A 24,235-nucleotide genomic window follows, 5' to 3' on the forward strand; every position below is an offset into this window, starting at 1 on the left:
GCCAGGCACAGTGGCTCACGCCTGTAATCCCAGCACTTTGGGAGGCTGAGGCGGGCCCTCAGTGGATCACCTGAGGTCAGGAGTTTGAGACCAGCCTGACCAACATGGTGAAACCCCGTCTCTACTAAAAATACAAAAATGAGCTGGGCGTGGTGGCACATGCCTGTAGTCCCAGCTACTAGGGAGATTGAGGCACGAGAATCATTTGAACCCAGGAGATGGAGGTTACAGTGAGCCAAGATTGCGCCGCTACACTCCAGCCTGGGCAGCAGAGCAAGACTCTGTCTCAAAAAAAAAAAAAAAAAAAAGAATAAGGGAAACCAGGCCTAACACTTTAGAAGGCCGAGGCGGGCAGATGGAGACTAGCCTAGTTAACACAGTGAGACCTCGTCTCGACAAAAAAAATTTAAAACATTAGTTGGGTGTGGTGGTGCGCGCCTATTATCCCAGCTACTCAGGAGGCTGAAGCGGGAGAATCACTTGAGCTTTGGGAGGTTGAGGCTGCAGTGAACCATAATCGTGCCACTGCACTCCAGCCTGGGCAACAGAGCGAGACCCTGTCTCAAAAAAAAAAAAAAAAAAAAGAAGAAGAAGGAGAAGGGGGTGAGGAGGAGGAGGGGAGGAGGAGGGAGGGGGAAGAGGTAGAAGGAGAAGGAGGAGGAGGAGAAGGAGAAGGAGGAGGCGGGAGGAGGGCAGAGTGGGAGGAGGAAAGAAGGAAGAAGGAAGAAAGAAGAAAGAAAGAAGGAGAAAAAAAAAAAAAACAGGGTCAGACCCCAGCTCCGTCTCTAGCTCAGTGTGACCCTGGGCAAGTCATGGCCCCTCTCTGTGCCTCAATCATCTCATCTGTACGGGGGGGGTGTGAGGGGAGAGGAGAGGGCAATGGTTTTGAGAGTTGAGGGACTCATCCAGTCCGGGAACCAGATGCTCCCCGCAACAAGCCAACATCTCACCTCAACACACTCTCAGAGACTCAGACTTGGTCTGGTCCACCCTGAAAGGAATTCCTAACAAAGCCTCCACTCCAGAAGATTTGGCTGTTGGTTCATCTCCCTCAAGAGCTCCAGTTCCAGGGTTCAGGTTTCAATTTTGCTACTTCTAGGCTCTGTCATCCTGAGCAAGTCACTTACCTCCTCTGGGCCTCAGTTTCCTCATCAGTAAAATGGGCCCAGTCAATCCCCTGGCCCCATCATTTGCCTCCCAAAGGTGTTGCAAGAATCAAACAAGACAGCAAGTGGGCAGAGGCCTCTAAACTATGAAGGGCTACAGAGCTGCCACAGTGTGACCGTGGCTGTCTTCACAGCTTCAAACAAAATCCCATGCCCCTAACCAATCACCAGTTCGGAGTGTGCAGCCAGAAGTTGGCCTGGTATGGGGGGTGGGCAGCTGTGGTGTGACCACCAAGCTGGGAGCAGACGTGCATGGCCAGTTTGCTGGACTATGAGTGCACTCAGCCAAGCGTGACGCATGTGGGGTCTGAGGTGGCCAGACAGTGACAAGAGTGGCAGCAGGTGGCAGGCCATAAAATGAAGTCATTGTTGGGAAAAGGTCACAATGACTTCTGGTGCTACAGTCAGGCATGCAATATTTGGTGCCCTAGGAGTCCCCTGGCCTCTCTTGGAAAGTGACTTGCTAGTTCCCCAGCCTTGAGAGGTTAGAATGGCAGCCCCCCCTCCACACACACACACACACACACACACACACACACACACACACACACACACACACACGGGTCTGGAGGCTGGGTCAGGCAATTCTACAAATTAACAGTCCACTCCTCCTCCTCCGCAAGAGACTCAGAAAGAAATTCATGACTCCCGCATTCCTTTCCACTCACAAAACATGCTTTGTGAACAGCCAGAGAAAGACAGCTCGTTACAAGGACAACTGTGGTCACACCCTCTCAGCAAACCGCAGCCACACACCAGGGCCTCCTGCCTGACCCCTGGCCAGCCGGCTTCCCTGATGAGCTCAGAGGACAGGACACCTGGGAGTCTCCGACGAGCAACAGGAAATACGGATGCATTTAATCCCGGCGTACAAACTCACTGAGCACAAAATTATAGCGTTCGTTCCTTCAGTTTATGTTGCTTAGAAATAACAGCTCATTAAATTTGCACCTTATAAAACAGGGTATTAAATCCCAGCCGCCACACACCTGCCTATGGGAGGTGGGGATGCAAGCCGCCAAGCCAGGCACGATCAGGTGCTCTGTTCAGATCCATCTGCAACACCTTTGTTAATTTTGGAGCAGAAAAGCTCCAAACATAAATTATAAATTAAGGTAAATTTATAGTAGCTAAGTTTAATTTCACTTCTTTTTTTGTTGTTGTTTTTTGAGACAGAGTCTCGCTGTGTCGCCCAAGCTGGAGTGCAGTGGCTCAATCTTGACTCACTGCAACCTCCACCTCCCGGGTTCAAGCAATTCTCCTGCCTCAGCCTCCCGAGTCCCTGAGACCACAGGTGCATGCCACCACGCCCGGCTAATTTTTTGTATTTTTAGTACAGACGGGGTTTCACCACGTTAGCCGGGATGGTCTCAATCTTCTGACCTCATGATCCACCCGCCTCAGCCTCCCAAAGTGCTGGGATTACAGGCATGAGCCACTGCGCCTGGCCAATTTCACTTCTTAGGTCCCTAAAATAGGAAAAAGCAGCCACTCTGCGTAGAGGCAGATGACCTGCAGACTACAGAGGCACCTCCGACCATCTCTTTTCCATCCCCCTCCCCTGTCCCAGCAGCCCCCAGATGGCCACACACGCAGGACATCTCCCAATCGCATCACACCCAACCCAAAGGTGGGACAAGCCGTGAGGGCTGCAGCCCCTCCCAGTACCCCCAGCCTGCAGCCCTCACGCCGTCCTCTCTAAGCAGTAAATTATTTCTTCTGAGAAAACCCTACAGCAAGCCCCATGTCTGTTTCAGAAAAAAGGGGAAGCCCTCTGGGTAAAGAAAGGGGAGCACTCCTACCTGCCAGCCACCGCCCCTCAGCAGTGCTGAGAGCCAACTCAGAAATCCTTCAATCCGGCTGAACACAGTGGCTCATGCCTGTAATCCAGCACTTTGGGAGGCTGAGGCGGGCAGATCGCCTGAGGTCAGGAGTTTGACACCAGCCTGGCTAACATGGTGAAACCCCATCTCTACTAAAAATACAAAAAAAAAATTAGCCAGGCATGGTGGCACACACCTGTAATCCCAGCTACTCAGGAGGCTGAGGCAGGAGAATCGCTTGAACGTGGGAGGCAGAGGTTGCAGTGAGCAAAGATCTCACCACTGCACTCAAGCCTGGGTAACAAAGCAAGACTCCATCTCAAAAAAAAAAAAAAAAAAATTCCTTCAATCCCAGGACATTGGGAAAGTGCTCTAACCAACTTCTCTGTGCCTCAGTTTCCTCCTCTAGAAATGGGGAAGATAGTGTTGTCCACCCCAGCGTAGGGTGGCTGGAAAATTAAAGGGGTCTGTGCATGGCAAGCACTGAGGATGGTATCTATAAAGCACAAGGCCGTTTTATAATTGTTACATCATCCTTATCTGTGATGAGGATGAGGAAACTGAGGCACAGAAAGGAAAGCCTTCCCCATGCCACATGGTTTTTCACAGTAGAGCAGGCCTGGGACATGTCCCTGTCCCTGCCCATCACTCCTCAGAAAGCCTCCGTCTCCTGCCACACACCAACCAGGCCCTCGAACGATAGCCTCAAGGTCATCTCACAACCTCAAACCAGCCACCTACATCCTCAAGCAGGACCAGCAGCCTGGACCCTTCAACTGGTGGCCTCAACACCCCCATCAGGGCTCACCTCCCCAAGATATCGACCCACCTGGCGTGCACAAACCGAGGACTGGCACACCAGTGCACCCACATCTACAGCCTCACAGCCACCTGCAATGCTGTAGCCACGGCCCAAGGCTCCTGGGGTAGGGAGGCTTCAAACTCCACGGTCAGAACCCACTGTGCAGCCTCGAGCAACATGGCTGGAGAGAGCCTCCTGCGTGCCGTGCGGCCTGCACTGCTAAGCCCTTGACGTGGATCAGCTCATTAAATCCTTGGAACAACGCCCTGTGGCAGTCAAATACTGGTATTATCCCCCTGCTGAGTCCCAGTCAGAAACCAAGAAAGTGAGATGCAGTAGGAGGCACAGCCTCACTTGCTGCTGGAGGGAGTCAGGTGAGACTTCCCCACACAGGGAGTAGGCGGAACAGCAGCGTGGGAAGGGGGCTGGCACTGGAGCCAGCCGGACCCGGTTCAAATCCAGGCTGTGCCGCTTCCTGGCTCTGTGACCTTGAGCAAGTCCTTTCACTAATCTGAGTCTCAGAGTCTGTATTTGCAAATGAGGGCTTGGCGTATGGTGCTTTGGTGAGGATTAGAAGACATGATGTTTAACCTATGTGTCTCTTGATAATAATATCAACAATGGCTACTGATGACACAAGTTGTGAGCAGTGTGCTAGGGACTGTACATGTTTGAAACTGTGTCTTAAACTCACCGGGCCAGGTACGGTGGCTCACGCCTGTAATCCCAGCACTTTGGGAGGCCGAGGCGGGCAGATCACCTGAGGTCAGGAGTTCGAGACCAGCCGGGTCAACATGGTGAAACCCCATCTCTACTAAAAATACAAAAATTAGCTGGGTGTGGTGGCACGAGCCTGTAATCCCAGCTACCCGGGAAGCTGAGGCAGGAGAATCGCTGGAACCCGGGAGGCAGAGGCTGCAAGGAGCCGAGATCACACCACTGCACTCCAGCCTGGGCAACAAGGGTGAGACTCCATCTCAAAAAAAAAAAAAAAAAAAACAACTTATCAAATCCTCATAACCCAGTGTTTCTTGGCCCCGGCCCTACCGATGTTTTAGGCTAGGTAATTCTTTGCTGGGGACTGTCCTGTGCCCTGCAGGGCGTTTGACAGCATCCCTGGCCTCTACACACCAGATGCCAATAAATCCCCACTAATTGTGACAACCAGAAATATTTCCTAGACATGGCCAGATGTTTCTAGGGGGTCAGAATCACCCCCCATTGAGAACCACAGTCATAACCCAATGAAGTAGGTACACCGAGCACTAAAAGGACTTATCCACGTCAAAGAGCCAGCAATGGTGGCTCTGGGACACAGGCTGGCTGGCTACTACATTGCAAAAGCTGCCCCTTCCCTTGCCTCCCCGACCCATCTCCCCAGGGCCTACCGCCAGCTGCAGGTCACGGCTGCGAAGTACAGCCGAGTTCTTCTCCTCACTGAGCTGTGCCAGGCGCATGGCGATCATGTAGTTCTCATCCTTGAGCCGCAGCAGCTCCAGGCTGCCCGCCTCCCAGTCCTCCCGCAGCCGTTGACAGCGCTCCTGAGCCTGCTGCTGGTCCCGCAGCCGCTGCTCCAGCCCTGCCCGCTCCTCCTCGAGCACCCGGCCCCGGGCCTGCAGTTGCTGCTCCCGCTGCAGCTGGCTCTTGCGAGCTTCCCGCAGCCGTCGCACCTCTGTCATCAAGAATTGGGTCAGGCCCTCAGGCCCCTCCTCATCTGCCAGGACAGAACAGGGGACAGAATAGGCAGCTCAGGCAAGTAAAATCCAGGAGATAACATACTGTGTCAAAAAACTCAAACCATAAAAACACTAGAGGGAAATTCTGGAATATATTTGTAGAATTGGGAGCAGGGGAGGTCTTCCTAAACAACACACAAAATCCAGGAGTTATAAGAGAAAAAAGATGGACAAATCCATATAAAAATGTTTAAACCTTTGAAAAATGAAAGATGTAACAAAGTTAATAAGCAACAGAGTGGGAGAAAATATAACAAGAACTCAGAGCCGTAATATATAAAGAGCTCCTACAAATCAATAAGATCAACAACCAAATAAAAATATGGACAAAAACTATCAATAGGCAAGTCCCAAAATAAAAATAGTTAATAAATACAGGAAAATATGCACCAACCTATCAACAATAATTACAGTAGCTACTAATATTTGTTAACTTCATTCTTTGTGCTAGATATATCTTAATCTTTATGACAACACTGTAAGGTAGGTACTATTATTGTACCCATCTTAAAGACAGAAAAACTGAAGCACAGAGCAGTTATTTACCCAAGGTTTAATAACTAGTAACCTGTGAACTGTATCACTCAATGAAATATAAACTTAAAACAATAACATTATTTTTTACATATCAGAATGGTAAAAACGTTTAAACATGATCCCCAGGATTCAAATGGGCCCTTACACATTCCTGGTAGGAGGTATGTTGATTTAACAGTTAAAATACACAGACTCTTTGAGAAATTCTTCTCAGAACCTCTTCGCCTGAGACACATTTGCACAAAGACGCACATACAAGGATGTTCCCGTATCGTTGTAATAATACAAAACTGGAAACCTAGGTATCCATCAACTGGAAATGGGTTAAATGAATTATGTCCTAACTTCACTAATGAACAGTATGCAGTCACTTAAAACAAGTGTATGTAACAGAGGTGAAAGAATCACTAAAATCAGTTGTTCTAAGAAAAAGCAAAATACACACGTAGGCGTGTGTGCGTGTGTGTATGTGTTTGTGTTTTTTATATAAAAAAATTCAGCTAGGCGCAGTGGCTCACGCCTGTAATCCCAGCACTCTGGGAGGCCGAGGCAGGCGGATCACAAGGTCAGGAAATCAAGACCATCCTGGCCAACATGATGAAACCCCATCTCTATTAAAAATAAAAATACAAAAATTAGCAGGGCGTGGTGGCCCATGCCTGTAATCCCAGCTACTCGGGAGGCTGAGGCAGGAGAATCGCTTGAACCTGGGAGGCGGAGGTTGCAGTGAGCTGAGATCGCGCCACTGCACTCCAGCCTGGTGACAGAGCAAGACACTGTCTCAAAAAAAAAAAAATTCAAAGTCACCTGGAGCCTCTGTATTTTTTTACATAAAAAACTATACATCTGTGTATGTCAGACATATGTCTGAAAACAGTATCACGAAGAAAGAGCCATCTTAAGCATGTGGCTCTGAACTTGGAATAACGGCACTAGCACCCAGCCCCACCCTCAGCCTACCGTGGGGCCCTGGGCAAGCCCCTTCAGCCTCTCCATGCCTCAGTTTCCCTTACTGTTCAACAGGCATAGTGGGAGCGCCTCCCTAACAGGGATGGGGAAAGGAGCCTGTGCACTGGAGTCCGAGGTGCCAGCATCCACCGCAGATCCACTCACCGAGGATCATGGAGCAGCGCTGGGCGGGTTCCTGGCCCGTGAGCAGCGTGAAGTGTTCGGGGTAGTAGAACTCCAGGGCTTCCAGGAAGGCCTCATAGCCCCTCTTGCCACGGCAGCGCAAGATGTCCATCAGGCGCCCTACAGAGTAGTGGGGGGATGTACCCAGGGTCTAGGGGAAGGCCTCCCCAGGTGCCTGGTTGCTTCTGCCCCCACCATGCTCCAGGCCCACGTTCCCCAGATTTTTGAGCCAGTGACACACACAGGGGCCTGTCCCAACACATCAGGGAAGAGAAGAGAGCCATTCTGCCACAGCCAGGGGAGCACATTCCCTCATGACTCCTGGGCTCCCAGAGCTCCCCAACACCCCCCACAGACACAGATGCCGGCCCGCAAATGCAGCCTGCCTTTTCAATGGCACAGAGAAGCCCCCTCTATCCCCAGAAGCAAAGAAAATACTTCTCCCATTGGCCATGCCTGAAATTCCACCATTAAAGACCATTCCATCATGCCTTTTTGAGTTCTGGTTCAAAGGCACACCCTGTGGGAGTGGGGACCCACGTAAAGCTGAGACGGATCTTGACACTTGAAAAAGGACTCCCCCAGGAGTGTATGGTGCACAGAGGAGGGGACAGACAGAACTCGGAGATCAAAGAGCGCAGGAAAGGTGCCAAGTCCACCGGCTGTGACCGGGAGGTCCCAGGCCCAGCCGGCCCTGGCAGCCACATCCAACCTTCTGCTCTAATGTGGACCCAGGAAGTGGGAGAGAACCCCAAGAGACAAAACTCTGACCCCGGTGTGGGCAACGCGGACCGCCAAGGCGCAGTGGTGGGTGGGGAGGAGGCAGGCTGGTGGGCATACCCAGCCGGCCCACTCTACTGATGCGGAGACCGAGCCCCAGGGCAGCAGAGCCCTAGCTTCGCGCTACACGGCTGTGGGCGCTGCGCCCCAGGGCACGGCCGGCCCAGGTCGTGGCCCACTCGGGACCCGCGGCTCACCGGTGCGGTTGACGCGGCACGGGAAGCGGTAGGTGCTCAGCACCTCCTCCTCGTCCTGCTCGTCGATGACCCGGCACTGGCGCAGATACGGCGTGAGCTTGGCCGGGTTCAGGGCGCGAGCCAGCCGATGCCGGACGCCCTCGATTCGCTCCCACAGCGCGTCCTCCTCCGCCTCAGACCCCGAGCCGGCCCCGGCCTCCTCCTCGGCCTCCCCCGCCTCCGCCCGGCCCGGCATGGCCGTGTCCTCAGGGTCTGCGGGCAAGAGGCGCACGGGGGTCGACCAGGGCTCCCTAGGGCTAGATGTGCGGCCAAGCACCCCCGGGGCGTCGTCCGCAGACCCGCCGTCGGGGGCGCGCCCCGAGCTCCCCGCGACTCACCCCGCACGCTACAGTCGCCTCGGGCTCCCGGGTCCGCACTCGGGCGGCGGCTCCGCCGGCGCAGGGGGGCGGTGCCCGTGGCGCCCCCGGCTCCGCCCCCGTCCCCGCAGCCTCCTGGGCTGCCCGGGCCTCCCCACATTGCCGCCCGCCCCGGGTCGTGCGTCCGGCCCCCGGCCACCCCGCGCGTCCGTCTGCACGCCCTCCCTCCCGGCCGTCCGGCTGCGCCTCCCCCTGCTTCCTGTTTCCCGCCGGCTCTCCAGCCCGGCTCGGCGGGGTCCTGGCCGCCCGCCCACACCTGCCCGGCCTCTGGGCGGGGCGGGGGCGGGCAGGCGCGCTCACACCCCCCGCGCGCCGCGACACACCTTCCCCGGGCCACGCGCATCGCCTCCCCACGCCCACAGCGCGCCCGCCCGTGCGGGGCTAGCCGCTCACGCCCGGCGCAGCCCGCGGGCACTCAAGCTGGGCTTGCCCTTCTCGGGTCCCCACATGCACTGCGGGCGCGGGAGCTTCCCTGGAGCGCAGGACAGCCCCGCGGGGGACAGCAATGGGCAGAGGTCATGGGGGCTTTCTGCAAGATGGGGGTCTGAACCTGCAGGGCAGCACTGCCAACTCCCCTCTTACGCAAACTCCCGTGGCACTTGAGGACCAGGGACCCCACAATTCTCAAAGGGTATTCCTCCAGGTGTTGGTCCCAGAGATGCTGGGGGCGGGCTGTGACTAGCCATCCATACTCCCGCTCCTGCCTGGGAGGCCGGTGGTGTCTTACCATGATACTGGCCGAGTCTACACGGTATCTGCTGGTGCATGCGATACAGTCTCGCTATGCATTAGAAGCTGCCAGGTACCTGCTGCCAGGGAGGAACAGAGGAGGCACAACCGGTACAGGAAAGAGGTGTGAGCTCCCTAATCGCCTTCCACAACTTCTGAATTAGATGCCGTGGACATATGTATTACTTATCCAAAGAATTAAGGTTTCAATCAATAAAGGCTCTGAAAAGCCCTGCTTAAATTAAGGCCGGGGGCGGTGGCTCATGCCTGGAATCCCGACACTTTGGGAGACCGAGGCGAGTGGATCACCTGAGGTCAGGAGTTCGAGACCAGCCTGACCAATATGGCGAAACCCCATCTCTACTAAAAATATAAAAATTAGCTAGACGTGGTAGTGCGCGTCTGTAATCCCAGCTACTCGGGAGGCTGAGGCACGAGAATCGCTTGAACCCAGGAGGCGGAGGTTGCAGTGATATCGTGCCACTGCACTCCAGCAGCCCGGGCAACAGAATGAGACTCCCCCTCAAAAAAAAAAAAAAAAAAAAAAAAAGCCCCAGCAGTAAAGAAACAGATTTAACTTTATATATCCTGGTGTCCTTTTCCAAACTTAATTAACCACAGCCTTTTTTTGGTTTGCATTTGTTGTACATTTGTTTTTGTTTTGGGTGTCACCTGTTTACATGCAGAAGAAATGCTTTGGGAGAACTGAATTCTAGTGCAAATTCCTCAATTAACAAAGGAGGAAGCAGAGCTCAGAGAGGGCAAGGAACTTGCCCAAATTCACACAGCGAGGCCACAATGGGAATAGGCCGGAGCCCAGCCCCTGGCCTCTGTCCTCTCCAAGCCCCGAGTCCAGGCACACACCAGACCTCCCTTTCAATACGTCCTTCCCCTCTCTGTGGCCTTGGTTGCCCTCCCACGCAGAGCGGCAGCTCCTCCCACCAGCAGCCCTACTCCTCGTGAATATTTTTAACTTGGCCAGCAGAGCGGGATGGACGCCTTGGAAAATGAGGCTATGGTTAATTATTTTTTCATCGAGAAGCTAAGCAGGGCCTAAAGATAAGGCACAGAAGCCAAGAGGTCTCTGCAGATAAGTGGACAGAGAAGTGAGGGCACACTGGGTCTGAACAGGCAGGTAGCTGGGTACACCGAGTGCCCCTGGTGCCCAGCATTCCAGGGGAAGCGACAGAGTTCCTTTGGGTACCACACTCCCACATTCACATGTACAATTATACAGGCATGCACACGCACCATCACATACACATGCACACATACACACCCACCCACTGTGGGCATCAAGCCAGGCAGGAGGCAGACAGGGGCGTACCCACTTCCCCACAAACATCTGAGCCTCCTCATCTTTCCCCTGTCCCCGGGCGTCCATAGCACCGAGTGTGCAAGCGTGTGATTAGGTACCATGTTCATTATTGTCCTCTTGTGAGTTCTGCTACATTCATCTTCTCTCTATAGCTATGCCAGGAAGGCGGGCAGGGACTACAGCAGGGACACCGAGAATCTAGACTTTGTACCAGGGGCCCTGGGTTCTATCGCGGGCTCACCGCTATGAGTATTGTTCTTCTTTGAGTCTCCATTTCCCTGTCTGCAAAAGGCAGGCGGTGAGTAGTCCCAGCCACACCTACAAAGGCAGACAGTCCAGGAGTGGAGGGTGCCCTGGAGACCAACATTCAGCCTTAGCTGCATCTACTCGGACAAATTCCTCCCCCTCTCAACTTCTACATCTGAAAAGTGGACAATAGTCCCCCATGTGCAGGGACTGCCTCTGAGTTGCAGTCTCTCCATATGTGAAGTGGGTACAGGAATGTCAGTCCTCTTCCCAACTCATCAAAAGGCATGCCTCCATGTTTCAAACCAGTCTGCGTCCTACTGCCTGTAGCCCCACTGGTCCAAGCCACACATGCCCCCACAAACTCCCACCCACAGTGCTATGGGCTATGGTATGTTCTCCACTCTGCAGCCTTAATGATGTTTGTTTGGTTTGGGAGGTTTTTCTTAGACAAGGTCTGGCTCTGTCACCCAGCCTAGGGTGCAGCGGCCCAATCATAGCTCACTGCAGCCTTGAACTCCTGGGCTCAAGCAATCCTTCTGCCTCAGCCTCCCACATAGCTGGGACTGCACATATGCACCACCATGCCCGGCTACTTTTTTTACCCTTGGTAGAGAGGGGTCTTGCCACGTTGCCTAAGCTGGAAAGAATGATGGTTTTAAAAACATAACAGGTTTTTCTCTGGCTTAAAACCTCTTAATGGTTTCCACCAAACTGGAATAAAATGCAAACTGCCCCCAGACCCTGCTGGCTCCCCCGCCTCCCACTTCCCACTGCCCCACTCGCTCACTAGTCTCATTCTGTTCTTGGAACCTGTCAGCTTCTTCCACATCAAGGCCCTTGTCCACCCTGTTGCCTCTGCTGGGACTGCTCATCCCTCCACTCCTGGTACGGAGGGTTCCTTCTAGCTTTTCAGGTCTCAGATCAAATTCCCCCTCCCTTGATTCAGGAGCACCCTCCAGCAGGGAGTTCCATACACCCCATCCAAGCAATTCTGTGCTACGTAGGGGCCAAAGGACAGCTTCTCCTTCTCCCTCTAGAGGTTTGCCGGAAATGCACTGACAATAGGCAGATAAATAGAAGAAAAAAAGCATAAAAAATGTATTTAACATGCCTAGCACAGGGGAATCATAGGAGAATGATTACCCAGTTATCCATTGAGGTCCAGATGTTTATATCCGCTTCTTCGCTGGGGAAGGGGAGACGGGGCTGTAGGAGTGAATGACTGTTAGGAGGCATTAATGGGCCTGGGAGGCAGACATTATCTTACAGATGATTTTCTTTGGAAATTGAGTGGGACCGAAGAAGAAACACTCATTTGGGACAAAGTTTGTCTGGACTCTAGATGTGGTGTTTAATTTTCTCTTCCTCTGTGATATGAATTTTAATCTCCAGTTAATGAAATTTCAGGGAAGGGATCGAAAGCAATCGTGTTCCTCTTTGGGGTCCAGTTTCTAGCAGATAAGGGAACTTCGGAGAACAGCCTCCTCCTGTGCTTTGGGAGAGACAGAGGATTGACAGAGAGGATGGGGGAAAGGTTGGCAGAGAGACCTTGAGGTTGCGTCTTTATTCAGCCTATCAAAGCGCCTTATTTGGCAGGTATCACTTTCTGAGCCCCGAGAGCTATTTCCTCTCTATCTGACATTTTCCTGGTGCTTGCTTTGCTGCACCAGGAAAATGTCAGCAACCTGTTTGTTGCCTACTTCCATCCCAAGAACAGAGCCGTCCTTGGCTAGCAGGAGTGAGCTGGAATGTTCCAAGAGTGGTGAGGATGAGGAGTGGAGCAGGGGAGGAGAGGAGGTTGAAGGAGGATTGGAAGGGGGGCAGACAGAGCAAAGGCCTTGAAGATCATTATGAGGACTTTGGCCTTTACTTTTCTTGGTAGTAATACGCCGCTATCATTGTCTTCCACAAATCAGCCACAAAGGCCACAGAAGCAGGGATCCACCTTTTTGTTCATTCCTTCAAGGATGCCCCTGGCCCAAGCAACCCTTCCGTTCCTCTTTGTCAGCCTCTGATTGCATCCAGGAATGTGGGTCTGGAGTTATCTAGTCCATAAGTCTGGGTGCCTGGTGAATCTGTGCTCCCTGACCCCAACCCCCAGCCCCATCTCGCCTCCTCTGGCCATCTCTTCACTAGGATCAGGGCCTGGGCCGCATGGATCCCAGCACAGGACCTGGCAGTCAGGTGTTCAGCAGGAGACGAGTGAGTGGGCCCAAGAGTGGGGAGAATTCCTGTGATGAGCTGCACTACACCACAGCCAGAACGCCCAGGGTTCAAATTCCAGGACAATGTGTGCCTGTGATCTTGGTCAAGTTCCTAAACGTTTCTCTACCCCTCATCTGAGGGACTCTAGCACAGCCTGAGCACAAGACAGATGCTAAATGCCCATCCTCAATTGAATTCGTCCAGAGATGTCACTTCCCCTCCCCATTGCCCAGTGTCCCCCGGGGCACCTTTACATAGCAGCTTTCCCTAGGTCCTATTCTTTTTTTTTTTTTTTTAGATGGAGTCTTGCCCTGTCGCCCAGGCGGGAATGCTGCGGCATGATCTTGGCTCACTGCAACCTCCGATCCCTGAGTTCAAGCAATTCTCCTGCCTCAGCCACCCTAGTAGCTGGAATTACAGGCGCCTGCCACCACACCCACCTAATTTTTGTATTTTTAGTAGAGATGGGGTTCCACCATATTGGCCAGTCTGGTCTCGAACTCCTGACCTTGTGATCTGCCTGCCTCGGCCTCCCAAAGTGCTGGGATTACAAGCGTAAGCCACCGTGTCCGGCTCCCTAGGTCCTATTCTATGGGACTGGGGAGAGAAGGGGTTGGGGAGGCTATTGTGCCCAATCACAAGAGTCTAGGCTGAAAGGATCCTTAAGACCTTTATTTTATAGCTGGGCACGGTGGCTCACACCTGTAATCCCAGCACTTTGGGAAGCCAAGATGGGCAGATCACTTGAGGTCAGGAATTCGAGACCAGCCTGGCCAACATGGTGAAACCCCATCTCCACTAAAAATACAAAAATCAGCCAGATGTGGTGGCGGGCACCTGTAATCCCAGTTACTTGGGAGGCTGAGGCAGGAGAATCGCTTGAACCCGGGAGCCAAAGGTTGCAGTGAGCCAAGATGGTGCCACTGCATTCCAGCCTGGGCGACAGAGCGAGACTCTGTCTCAAAAAAAAAATTTTTTTATTATTTTGTATGTACTGGGGAAACTGAGGTTGCAGTGGCCCAAGCGAGCCCTGGGTTCCCCAAGGCAGGGAGAGCAGAGCACAAGGAAGCGAGATAGGAACAGCCAAAGGGATGGTGCTGGCCCTCCAGTATCAGGTGACTGCATCTCCCTGAGAACCGGGGACTCCTGCAGGGGCCAGAGGAAGGGTGGCCCTGTCCCCACCTTCCCTTTCTCCCATGGCCACCCCCAGCAGCCTTGACAGCAAGGAGTAGAAATGCTGACCCACCCTCACCCTAATTCAGACCAATTATGGAGATGTCTGCCTACTGCCTGGCCTTGGGCTGGGCAAGAAGCTGGGTTAGGCTGGGGATATCCAGGGATGGGGCAGGAAGCTGTGCCAGGAGGTGAGAGATGGGGCTGGGGCAGGCTGGGAAAAGACAGAGAAAACTGAAGCTGGGCTCCCCAGACCTGGCTCCCATCGCTGAGACTGTGCCATTCAGCCCCGTCCCTGCCCCTCTCTGTGCCTCAGTTTGCCCCTCTGCACCACAAGGTGGTTGGAGGGAGATGCTCACCCTGGCAAGCCCCCTGCACCTGAGAGGAGCTCCCAGGGGGCCACAGGACACAGCCAAGGGTGGCCATGGGAGCTCAAGCCACCCACCAGCATCTCCATGGAGGAACTCTGCCTGGGGCCCTGAATTCCAGTGTGCCTGTGGAATCACTGGGGCTGAGTCAGAGGAAAGGGCGGGCCAGGGGAGCCACGGCTCTGAGTCACTGGGGCTCCGCGGGCTGGCGTGCCTTCCTCTGCCGCCCACCCAACCACCCACTCAACCATGGAGTCCCAACCACGGAATCATCCTGACCTGGATTCAAATCCCAGATCAGTGAGGTCGTGAGGTCATGACCCTGGACAGGACCGATGTGTAGAGACAATCATGGTTGTGTCTGATTAAATGAATGACTTTATGTGAAGTGCTTGGCACAAAGTTGGCACTCAGTGACAAACACTTTGCTCAGTAGCAAACAGTTTTGAGCCCTTACTATGCACCCAACATATGACGTACCAGCATTTTCCAGGGTTAGCTCCTTAAATCTTCCTAATAAACCCAGGAGGTAAATCCTCCTATTCTCCCCACTTTTCAGATGATGGAACAAGTTTGGTGAGGTCCCACAGTGGGCACGTGTGGACCTGAAAGGGAATTATCACAGATGTTAAGTGTGGGATGAGGGCCTGCCTTGCCCCGCCCCTCACCCTGCAGCCCAGGTTGTGACATTCCCCCACCTGCCAGCACAGTCCCCTGCCAGTCTCTGTGCCCAGCCCTGTTTGTTGCCCTGAGGATCCAAATGAATGGACCAACCCAAGCACTGCTTTGAGGAAGCAGGTTCATACCCAACCACTTTAAGTTGCTGGCAGCGATGAGAGGAGGAAATCCTCGACTCTGCCCAGGGGCATCAAAAACTAAAGCAGAAGAAGAGGCAAAAGAGGAAAGGTGCTCCAGGCAGGAGGAACGGTCAGTGCAAAGGCCCAGAGCCCAGAAGTCTCATGCCAGGCTCCCACAGGGATCCTTGTCCTTCGCTTGCTTTAACTTGCACAGTTTCAGTCCTGTTCGTCCTTGTTCCCATGACTCAGGCGCCCCTCGCACAGGGGAGGAGCAGCTGGTGAGTGGGCCATCCCTGCCCGGAAGGCTGGTGAATAACTGTCCCACTGGGGTTCACACTATGGACTGTGCCAGGTGCCGAACTCATTCCATCTCACGCTACCCCAGGGGGCGGGGCCTGTGACTACCCCAGGTCCAAGTGAGGAGGCCCAGGCTCAGGTAAGGCCACGGGCAGAGCGCCCCGGTCCCACCCAGCCACCTATGTCAGCCTCAACGCACTCTTGGGAGAATGAGCAGCCTCTGTGGCTGTGGAAACCCAAGTTGAAATCCCTACTCTGCCACTCTTTTGTTACTGGACTTTGGGGAGTTGACACCTCCTTTCTGGGCCCCATTTTCCATCCCTGTGCAGTGGGGGCGGCCTGAACGAAAGGGACAGCAGCATGGCCTGGGGTCAGGAGCACCGGCTCTGGAGCCGGAGCACCTGCATTCACACCCTCTCTCTGGGCCTCAGTCTCCTTATGGGGAGGATAGGAGTAATGTCAAATGACAACACGCTTAGTTTAAAGATCTAATTGGCTTTTAGGGCCAGGTGCAGTGGCTCACACCTGTAGTCCCAGCACTTTGGGAGGCCAAGGCAGGTGGATTGCTTGAGGTCAGGAGTTCGAGGCCAGCCTGGCCAACATGGTGAAACCTCGTCTCTACTAAAATACAAAAATTAGCTGGGCGTGGTGGCAGATGCCTGTAATCCCAGCTACTAGGGAGGCTGAGGCAGGAGAATTGCTTCAACCCGGGAGGTGGATGTTGCAGTGAGCTGAGATAGCACCACCGCACTCCAGCCTGGGCAACACAGTGAGACTCCATCTCAAAAAAAAAAAAAATCTAATTGCCTTTTATTTGCAATTCTAGAATCAGGCAACACCTCCCTCTGTGAAATAGAAGGGAGATTCCAATAAGCTGAACAGAGGATGTTAGCTTTTTTATAGGCAGAGAGGTGCTAAAGAGGGCAGAGACAGAGAACGAAAAACGGAATGGTTGTTTCACAGTTACTTTCCTTGTAAAGGGTTACAGCAGAGAAGACTTCCTTAGGCCAGTGACTCAGGTTGACTGGAAGCTCCTGTTCTCTAGAGAAACAGACCCATTTCAAAGTTCAGTTTGAGCATGGAGCTCTTAGCACAAGTGACTCCTTTCTGATTTGGTCTGGTAGGATGGGCCTAGTACAGGAGGCTAGTCTGAAACAATGGCCTCCCATGCATTTTATTTAACAGCACCTACCGGATAGGGTTGTTCCGAGGACAGAATGAGTTAATACACATAAATAGCTTAGCACAGTGGCCTCCACATAGTAGGTGTTCAGCACAGTGTTGGCTGTTGTCATCTATGAGTATCCTATCTGCTGGGACAACCCATGACCAGCAATCGGGGTGGCAGCAAATTCTGCTCATTCCCCCCACCCCCCCGCCACTCCCGTGCCCATCCTGGCCTAAGTCCCGCACACCTGGCCCCAAAGACACCTCTGGACTAGCTCCACCCCTCTGTCTGGAATGCTTTTCCCTCCCCTTTCCTCATGCCCCGCTCCAAAACACCCTTTGGTTCTCTGCTCACAGGTCCTCTCCTCAGGGAGGTCTCCCTGCCCACCGAGTAGGAAGGAGATCCTCCAATTTTTTATTTTATTTTATTTTATTTTATTTTATTTTGTTTTATTTTGTTTTATTTTATTTTATTTTGTTTTATTTTATTTTATTTTATTTTAATTTTATTTTGAGACGGAGTTTCACTCTTGTTGCCCAGGCTGGAGTGCAATGGTGCGATCTCGGCTCACTGCAACCTCTACCTCCCAGGTCCAAGCGATTCTCCTGCCTCGGCCTCCAGAGTAGCTGGGATTATAAGCACCCGCCACCACGCCTGGCTAATTTTTTGTATTTTTGGTAGAGATGGGGTTTCACCATGCTGGCCATGCGGGTCTCAAACTCCTGACCTCAGGTGATTGACCCACCAGGACCTCCCCAAGTGCTGAGATTACAGGCGTGAGCCACCATGCCCAGCCCTCCAATTAGCTTTTTTGTCTCCAGCCCCTATTTTTCACTTTGGTACTCTCATCAAAATCTGTCAACTCTTTTATGTATTTGTCCACTTCCGTCTCTATAGAATGTAAACCCCTGAGAGCAGAGGTGGTGTTCGCACCTCCATCGCCGCATCCCTAGAGCCTAGCTCAGTGCCTGGCGCGCAGCTGGTACTCCACAGATATAGGTACAATCAATGAATGAATAGTACGTAGTAGGTTCCTAGTAAATCCCACACACTAAGCCTAGCTCATCAGTGACTGGCATACAGGTGCTCTCAAGAGATATGTGTAAAATGAATTAATTAATAGTATGAATTAGGTTCCCAATGAGCGGGCTCCCAGAGAGCAGGATAGGACCCTAGCGCTCGGGGCAATATAATAATTGCTAACATTATGGCTGGGTGAGGTGGCTCGTGGCTGTAATCCCAGCACTTTGAGAGGCCAAGGCAGGTAAATCACTCAAGCCCAGGAGTCTGAGACCAGCCTGGGCAACATGATGAAATCCTGTATCTACAAGAAAAGTACAAAAATTAGCTGGGTGTGGTGGCACATGCCCATAGTCCCAGCTACTCGGGGGGTGCTGAGGTGGAAGGATGGCCTGACCCTCCGAAGCGGAGGTTGCAGTGAGCCGAGATTGCGCCACTGCAGTCCGCAGTCCGGCCTGGGCGACAGAGTGTGACTCCGTCTCAAAAAAAAAAAAAGAAAAAATAATAATAATAATAATTGCCAACATTATGGAATGCTCGTTATATGCTAAGCAGCGTTCTGAGCACCTTTCCTCCCCACGACGAACCTGTGAAGCAGTCACTATTTATATATATATATATTTTTTTGTTTGTTTTTTTTGAGACTGAGCCTCACTTTCGTCACCCAGGCTGGAGTGCAGTGGCGCGATCTCGGCTTACTGCAACCTGCACCTCCTGGATTCAAGCGATTCTCCTGCCTCAGCCTCCTGAGTAGCTGGGATTACAGGTGCACACCACCACTCCTGGCTAATTTTTGTATTTTTAATAGAGACGGGGTTTCACCATGTTGGCCAAGCTGGTCTCAAACTCCTGACCTCAGGTAATCCACCCGCCTCGGCCTCTGAAAGTGCTGGGATTACAGGTATGAGCCACCGTGCCCGGCTAGCAGCCACAATTTCTATCCAGATTTCATGGATGAGGAAACTGAGGCTCAGAGGCAAGTAACTTGCTCCAGGGCACCCAGCTATGTGTCCTGGAATTTGAACCTAGACACACTCTGGTTCATAAAGTTGGCTTGCTTTTCAACACTGCCCACTACTGCAAGCAGGAAGACTTCCTGGAGGAGATGTGGCAGAAGCTGGGCCTGGGAGAGTGGAACAAATTCCTACAATAGGGAACTGAGTCGCTGGGTGCAGCAGCTGGCAGGAGTGGAGCAGAGAGGGCACTGGGGAATAAAGTTGGCAGGTGTTTCAGTTATCTATTGCTGATAGGAATCCACCCAAAAACATGGCAGCATTGACTTAGCAACAACCATATACTTAACTCAGGAATCTGCAACTGGCAGGACTCAGCAGACACAGCTCATCTCTGCTCACATGACATCAGTCCTCTGTGGTCTCACTACCTGGCCTCTACAACATGGTGGCAGCAGGGCAGCCAGCTTCCTACATGGTGGTTTCAAAGACACATGTCAAGAGACAGCCAGAGGAAGCCATCGCCTTTTATGATCTGGCCTTGGAAGTCAGCCAGTGTCACTTCTGTTATATTATATTAGTCAAAATACAAGTCTGCCCAGGTTCAGGGGAAAGGGGAGGACTGGGTATAGCCTGTTTTATACAGTCTGATAGATAGTTCTGGAGGCTGAGAAGTCCAAGATCAAGGAGTCAGGAGATTTGGGTCCGGTGAGGGCCCACTTTCTGGTTCATTGATGGTGCCTTCTTATTGTGTCTTCGTGATGGAAGGGGTGAGGGGTCTCTCAAAGGTCTCTTTTATAAGGACACTAATCCCACTCGTGAGGGCTCCACCTTCGTGATCTAACCACCTCCCCAAAGCCCCACCTCCTAATTTTTTTTTTTTTTTTTTTTGAGACGGAGTCTCGCTCTCTCGCCCAGGCTGGAGTGCAATGGCGCGATCTCTGCTCACTGCAACCTCTGCCTCCTGGGTTCAAGCAATTCTCCTACCTCAGCCTCCCAAGTAGCTGGGATTACAGGCGCCTGCCACCACACCCGGCTAATTTTTTGTATTTTTAGTAGAGACAGGGTTTCATCATGTTCGCCAGGCTAGTCTCGTACTCCTAACCTCAAGTGATTCTCCCGCCTCAGCCTCCCAAAGTGCTGGGATTACAGGCATGAGCCACTGCGCCTGGATGCCCTACCTCCTAATACCATCCATCACCTTGAAGGTTAGGATTTCAACATATGAATTTTAGGAAGAAACATTCAGACTATAGCATGATGAAAAAACAGCATTTAAGTGTTATAAACCCCGAGAAAGCAAAAATAACATCAACAATAATAGTAGGAGGGGAAATAGGGAAAAATGTAAAAGAGCTTTCACCTTTTGTTAGAAAGAACCGATTCAAACTGATTAAATTGAAACATGTAGTTCTTTTTTAATTATTCCAAATATTCCAAATAAAAGATAAGACTGTCAGGATGAATAAAGTAACAAACTCCACTATATGCTACTTACAAGATATATGATTTAAATATAACAGCACAGAAGGCCCGGCGCAGTGGCTCACACTGGGTGGGTGGATCACGAGGTCAGGAGTTCAAAACCAACCTGGCCAAGACGGTGAAACCCCATCTCTACTAAAAATACAAAAATTAGCTGGTGGTGGTGGTGGTGGTCACCTGTAATCCCAGCTGCTCGGGAGGCTGAGGCAGAGAATTGCTTGAACTTGGGAGGCAGAGGTTGCAATGAGATGAGATCACGCCACTGTACTCCAGCCTTGGAAACAGAGCAAGACTCCGTCTCAAAAAAAGAAAAAAAAGAAAAGAACACAGAAAGGTTGCGAATTTAAAGATGGAAAGAGATCTATCACCCAAACAATAACCACAAAAAAATCTGCTGTACCTGTCCCAAAGTTAAAGAGTAGAATTTAAGGTAGGAAGCATGAGCAGAAACTTCATTTCAGTTAGGAAGGTATCAGAATCCCAAGTCTGTATACATCCAATAGCAGAGCTTCAAAATACAAGTAAAGCCCAATGGAACTAACAGGAGAAATGGGCAAGTCTAGTCATGGAAGGAGACTTAAACACACATCTCCAAAAAACTTATGTGGATTTAACAAAGTCACTAGATATGGGGTCAATAGATAAGATCAACTATATCTCTGTCTACTAGCCACAAATATAAACAAAGTTTTTTGTTTGTTTGTTTGTTTGTTTTTTGAGACGGGGTCTCGCTCTGTCGCCCAGGCTGGAGTGCAGTGGCACGATCTCAGCTCACTGCAAGCTCCACCTCCCAGGTTCACGCCATTCTCCTGCCTCAGCCTCCCGAGTAGCTGGGACTACAGGCGCCTGCCACCACGCCTGGCTAATTTTTTTGTATTTTTAGTAGAGACGGGGTTTCACCGTGTTAGACAGGATGGTTTCGATCTCCTGACCTCATGATCCGCCCGCCTCGGCCTCCCAAAGTACTGGGATTACAGGCGTGAGCCACAGCGCCCGGTCTATAAACAAAGTTTTTTAAATGAACCCATTAAACTCATAGCAGATAATATGGAAGAAAATCTAGATTACCTCGGGTTTGGCAATGACTTTTTTTTTATTTTTATTTTTCCGTTGTTGTTGCTGTTTTTGGTTTTGTTTTTGGAGACAGGGTCTTGCACTGTCACCCAGGCTGGAGTGCAGTGGCACAATCGTGGTTCACTGCGGCCTCAACCCTCTGGGCTCAAGCAACCCTCCTGCCTCAGCCTCTGGAAGTACTGGGATTACACGCGTGAGCCACCACACCCAGCCTTATTTTTCTTTTCATTTTTTTCCTTCTGGTTTGTCACGGGCTCAGAAAGAGGGCAATGACTTTTTAGATAATCCATAAAAGAAATAATTGATGAGGCCAGGTACAGTGGCTCACGCCTGTAATCCCAGCACTTGGGAGGCGCCAAGGTGGGCGGATCATGAGGTCAGGAGATCGAAACCATCCTGGCTAACATGGTGAAACCCTGTCTCTACTAAAAATACAAAAAATTAGCCAGGCATGGTGGCGGGTGCCTGTAGTCCCAGCTACTCAGGAGGGTGAGGCAGAAGAATGGCGTGAACCCGGGAGGCAGAGCTTGCAGTGAGCCAAGATCCCACCACTGCACTCCAGCCTGGGCAACAGAGTGAGACTCAGTCTGAAAAAAAAAAAAAAAAGAAAGAAAGAAAGAATTGATGAGTTGGGCTTCATTAAAATTCAAAACCTGTGCTTTGAGAAAGACACTGTCAAGAGAATAAAAAGGTAAGACCAGGAGAAAATATTTGCAAAAGACATATCTGATAAAAGACTGTCGACCAAAATATATGAAACTCTTAAAACTCAACAATAAGAAAATGAACAGTGGAACGTGCCTATAGTCCCAGCTACTCAGGAGGCTGAGGCAAAAGGATCACTTGAGCCCAGGAATTCAAGACCAGCCTGGGCAACACAGGGAGACCCCCATCTCTTAAAAAAAAAGAAAAAGAAAAAGAAAAAAGAAAAGAAGGCGGGGCACAGTGGCTCGCGCCTATAATCCCAGCACTTTGGGAGGCTGAGGCAGGTGGATCACCTAAGGTAGGAGTTCAAGACCAGCCTGACCAATCTGATGAAATCCCATCTCTACTAAAACTACAAAAATTAGCTGGGCATGGTGGCATGCGCCTGTAGTCCCAGCTACTCAGGAGGCTGAGACAGAAGAATTCCTTGAACCCAGGAGGTGGAGATGGTAGTGAGCCGAGATCATGCCACTGCCATCCATGCCATTCCAGCCTGGATGACAGAGTGAGACTCCATCTCAAAAAAAAAAAAAAAGAAAGAAAGAAATGTGTTATCAGGCCATGAAAAGACATGGAGGAAGCTTAACTGCATGTTGCTAAGTGAAAGAAACCAGTGTGAGTAGGCTACATACTGTGTGATCTCAACTATATGATATTCTGGAAAAGGCAAAACTATGGAGATGGCAAAAGGATCAGTGTTTGCCAGGGGCCCCGGGGAAGGAGGGGATGATTAGGTGGAGCACAAAGGATTTTTAGGGCAGTGAAACTATTGACTATGATACTATAATGGTGGATACATGTCATTATAATTTGTCAATTCCATAGAATGGACACCAAGCATTTACAATGAAGCTTATGTCAACTATAGGCCTTGGGTTAAAGATGTATCTATCCATGTACCTTCACTGATTATAGCAAATGTGCCACTCTGGTGTGTGATGTTCATGGAGAATTCTGAGTTAGGGGGGTGGGTGTTATATGGGAAATCTCTGTACTTTACGCTCAATTTTACTATGAACCTAAAACTGCTCTAAAAAATAAAGAAAGTCTATTTTTAAAATGAAGCCATTTATGGAAGCATCAAAAACATCAACTTGGTAGGAATAAACCAAACAAAAGATGTGCAAGATCTGTACACTGAAAACTACAGAACGTCGTTATGTATGAGTCACTAGGAAAAGCAGATCCAAACCACAATCCGATACCACTTCGCACACACTCAGATGGCTGTAATCAAAAAGACAAACAAAACAAGTGTTCGCCAGAAGGTGGGGAAATTAGCTCCCTCACACATTGCTAGTGCGAATGTACGATGGCACGGTTGCTTTGGGAAACGGTTTAGCAGTTCCTCAAAAAGTTAAATATAGAGTTACCATATGACCCAGCCACTTCACTCCTAGGTATAAAATACCCAAGAGAATTGAAAATACATGCCCACACATCATGTTCATTACACATGATGTTCATAGCAGCATTATTCATAATAGAACAAAAGTATCAACGATCCAAATACACATGCATGGGTGAGTGGATAATAAATGTATCATTCCAGCCATAAAAATAAATAAAGTTCCAATATGTGCTACCACATGGATGAACCTTGAAAACATTACACTAAGTGAAAGATGTCAGACACAAAAGGCCATAGATTGTATGATCCCATTTATATGGAAAGTCCAAAACAGGCAAATCCATAGAGACAGAAAGGAATTAGTAGTTGCTAGGGACTAGGGGAAGGGGAAACAGAGAATGACAGGAATGGAGGGTGACAGGTGGTGTATGAGGTTTTGGCGGGAGTGAAAACATATCTGGAAATTAGGTAGTGGTGATGACTGCACAACTTTTTAAATATACTAAAAACCTGGCCAGGCGCAGTGGCTCACACCTGTAATTCCAGCACTTTGGGAGGCCGAGGGGGGTGGATCACAAGGTCAGGAGTTCGAGATCAGCCTGACCAACAAGGTGAAACCCTGTCTCTACTAAAAATACAAAATTAGCTGGGCATGGTGAGAGATGCCTGTAATCCCAGCTACTTGGGAGGCTCAGTCAGGAGAATTGCTTGAACCCCAGGAGGTGAAGGTTGCAGTGAGCCAAGATCATGCCATT

The 24,235-nt window shown here is 51.0% G+C and overlaps 1 protein-coding gene across 1 annotated transcript in view, besides 1 other annotated feature; it reads right to left on the reverse strand.

Moving 5' to 3' along the window:
• Positions 1 to 8,622, reverse strand: part of CARD10 (caspase recruitment domain family member 10) — a 29,054-nt gene extending 20,432 nt beyond the window's left edge. The window contains exons 1-3 of the mRNA NM_014550.4: positions 8,173 to 8,622; positions 7,178 to 7,315; positions 5,180 to 5,505 (exon numbers count right to left, since the gene is read on the reverse strand). Coding sequence (NP_055365.2) covers positions 5,180 to 5,505; positions 7,178 to 7,315; positions 8,173 to 8,407 — 699 coding nt within the window. The 5' untranslated portion in view covers positions 8,408 to 8,622. The remainder of the gene's footprint in view (positions 1 to 5,179; positions 5,506 to 7,177; positions 7,316 to 8,172) is intronic.
• Positions 1,145 to 1,658: an enhancer, noted in NCBI's record as "H3K4me1 hESC enhancer chr22:37907945-37908458 (GRCh37/hg19 assembly coordinates)". NCBI's record gives its function as "activates a minimal SCP1, AML or CMV promoter by ChIP-STARR-seq in naive H9 embryonic stem cells {active_cell/tissue: H9 hESC(naive)}" and the evidence as "EXISTENCE:reporter gene assay evidence [ECO:0000049][PMID:30033119]".
• Positions 8,623 to 24,235: the final 15,613 nt, after the last annotated feature.

The sequence above is a fragment of the Homo sapiens genome, chromosome 22 (assembly GCF_000001405.40).
Source record: "Homo sapiens chromosome 22, GRCh38.p14 Primary Assembly".
Lineage (NCBI taxonomy): Eukaryota > Metazoa > Chordata > Mammalia > Primates > Hominidae > Homo > Homo sapiens.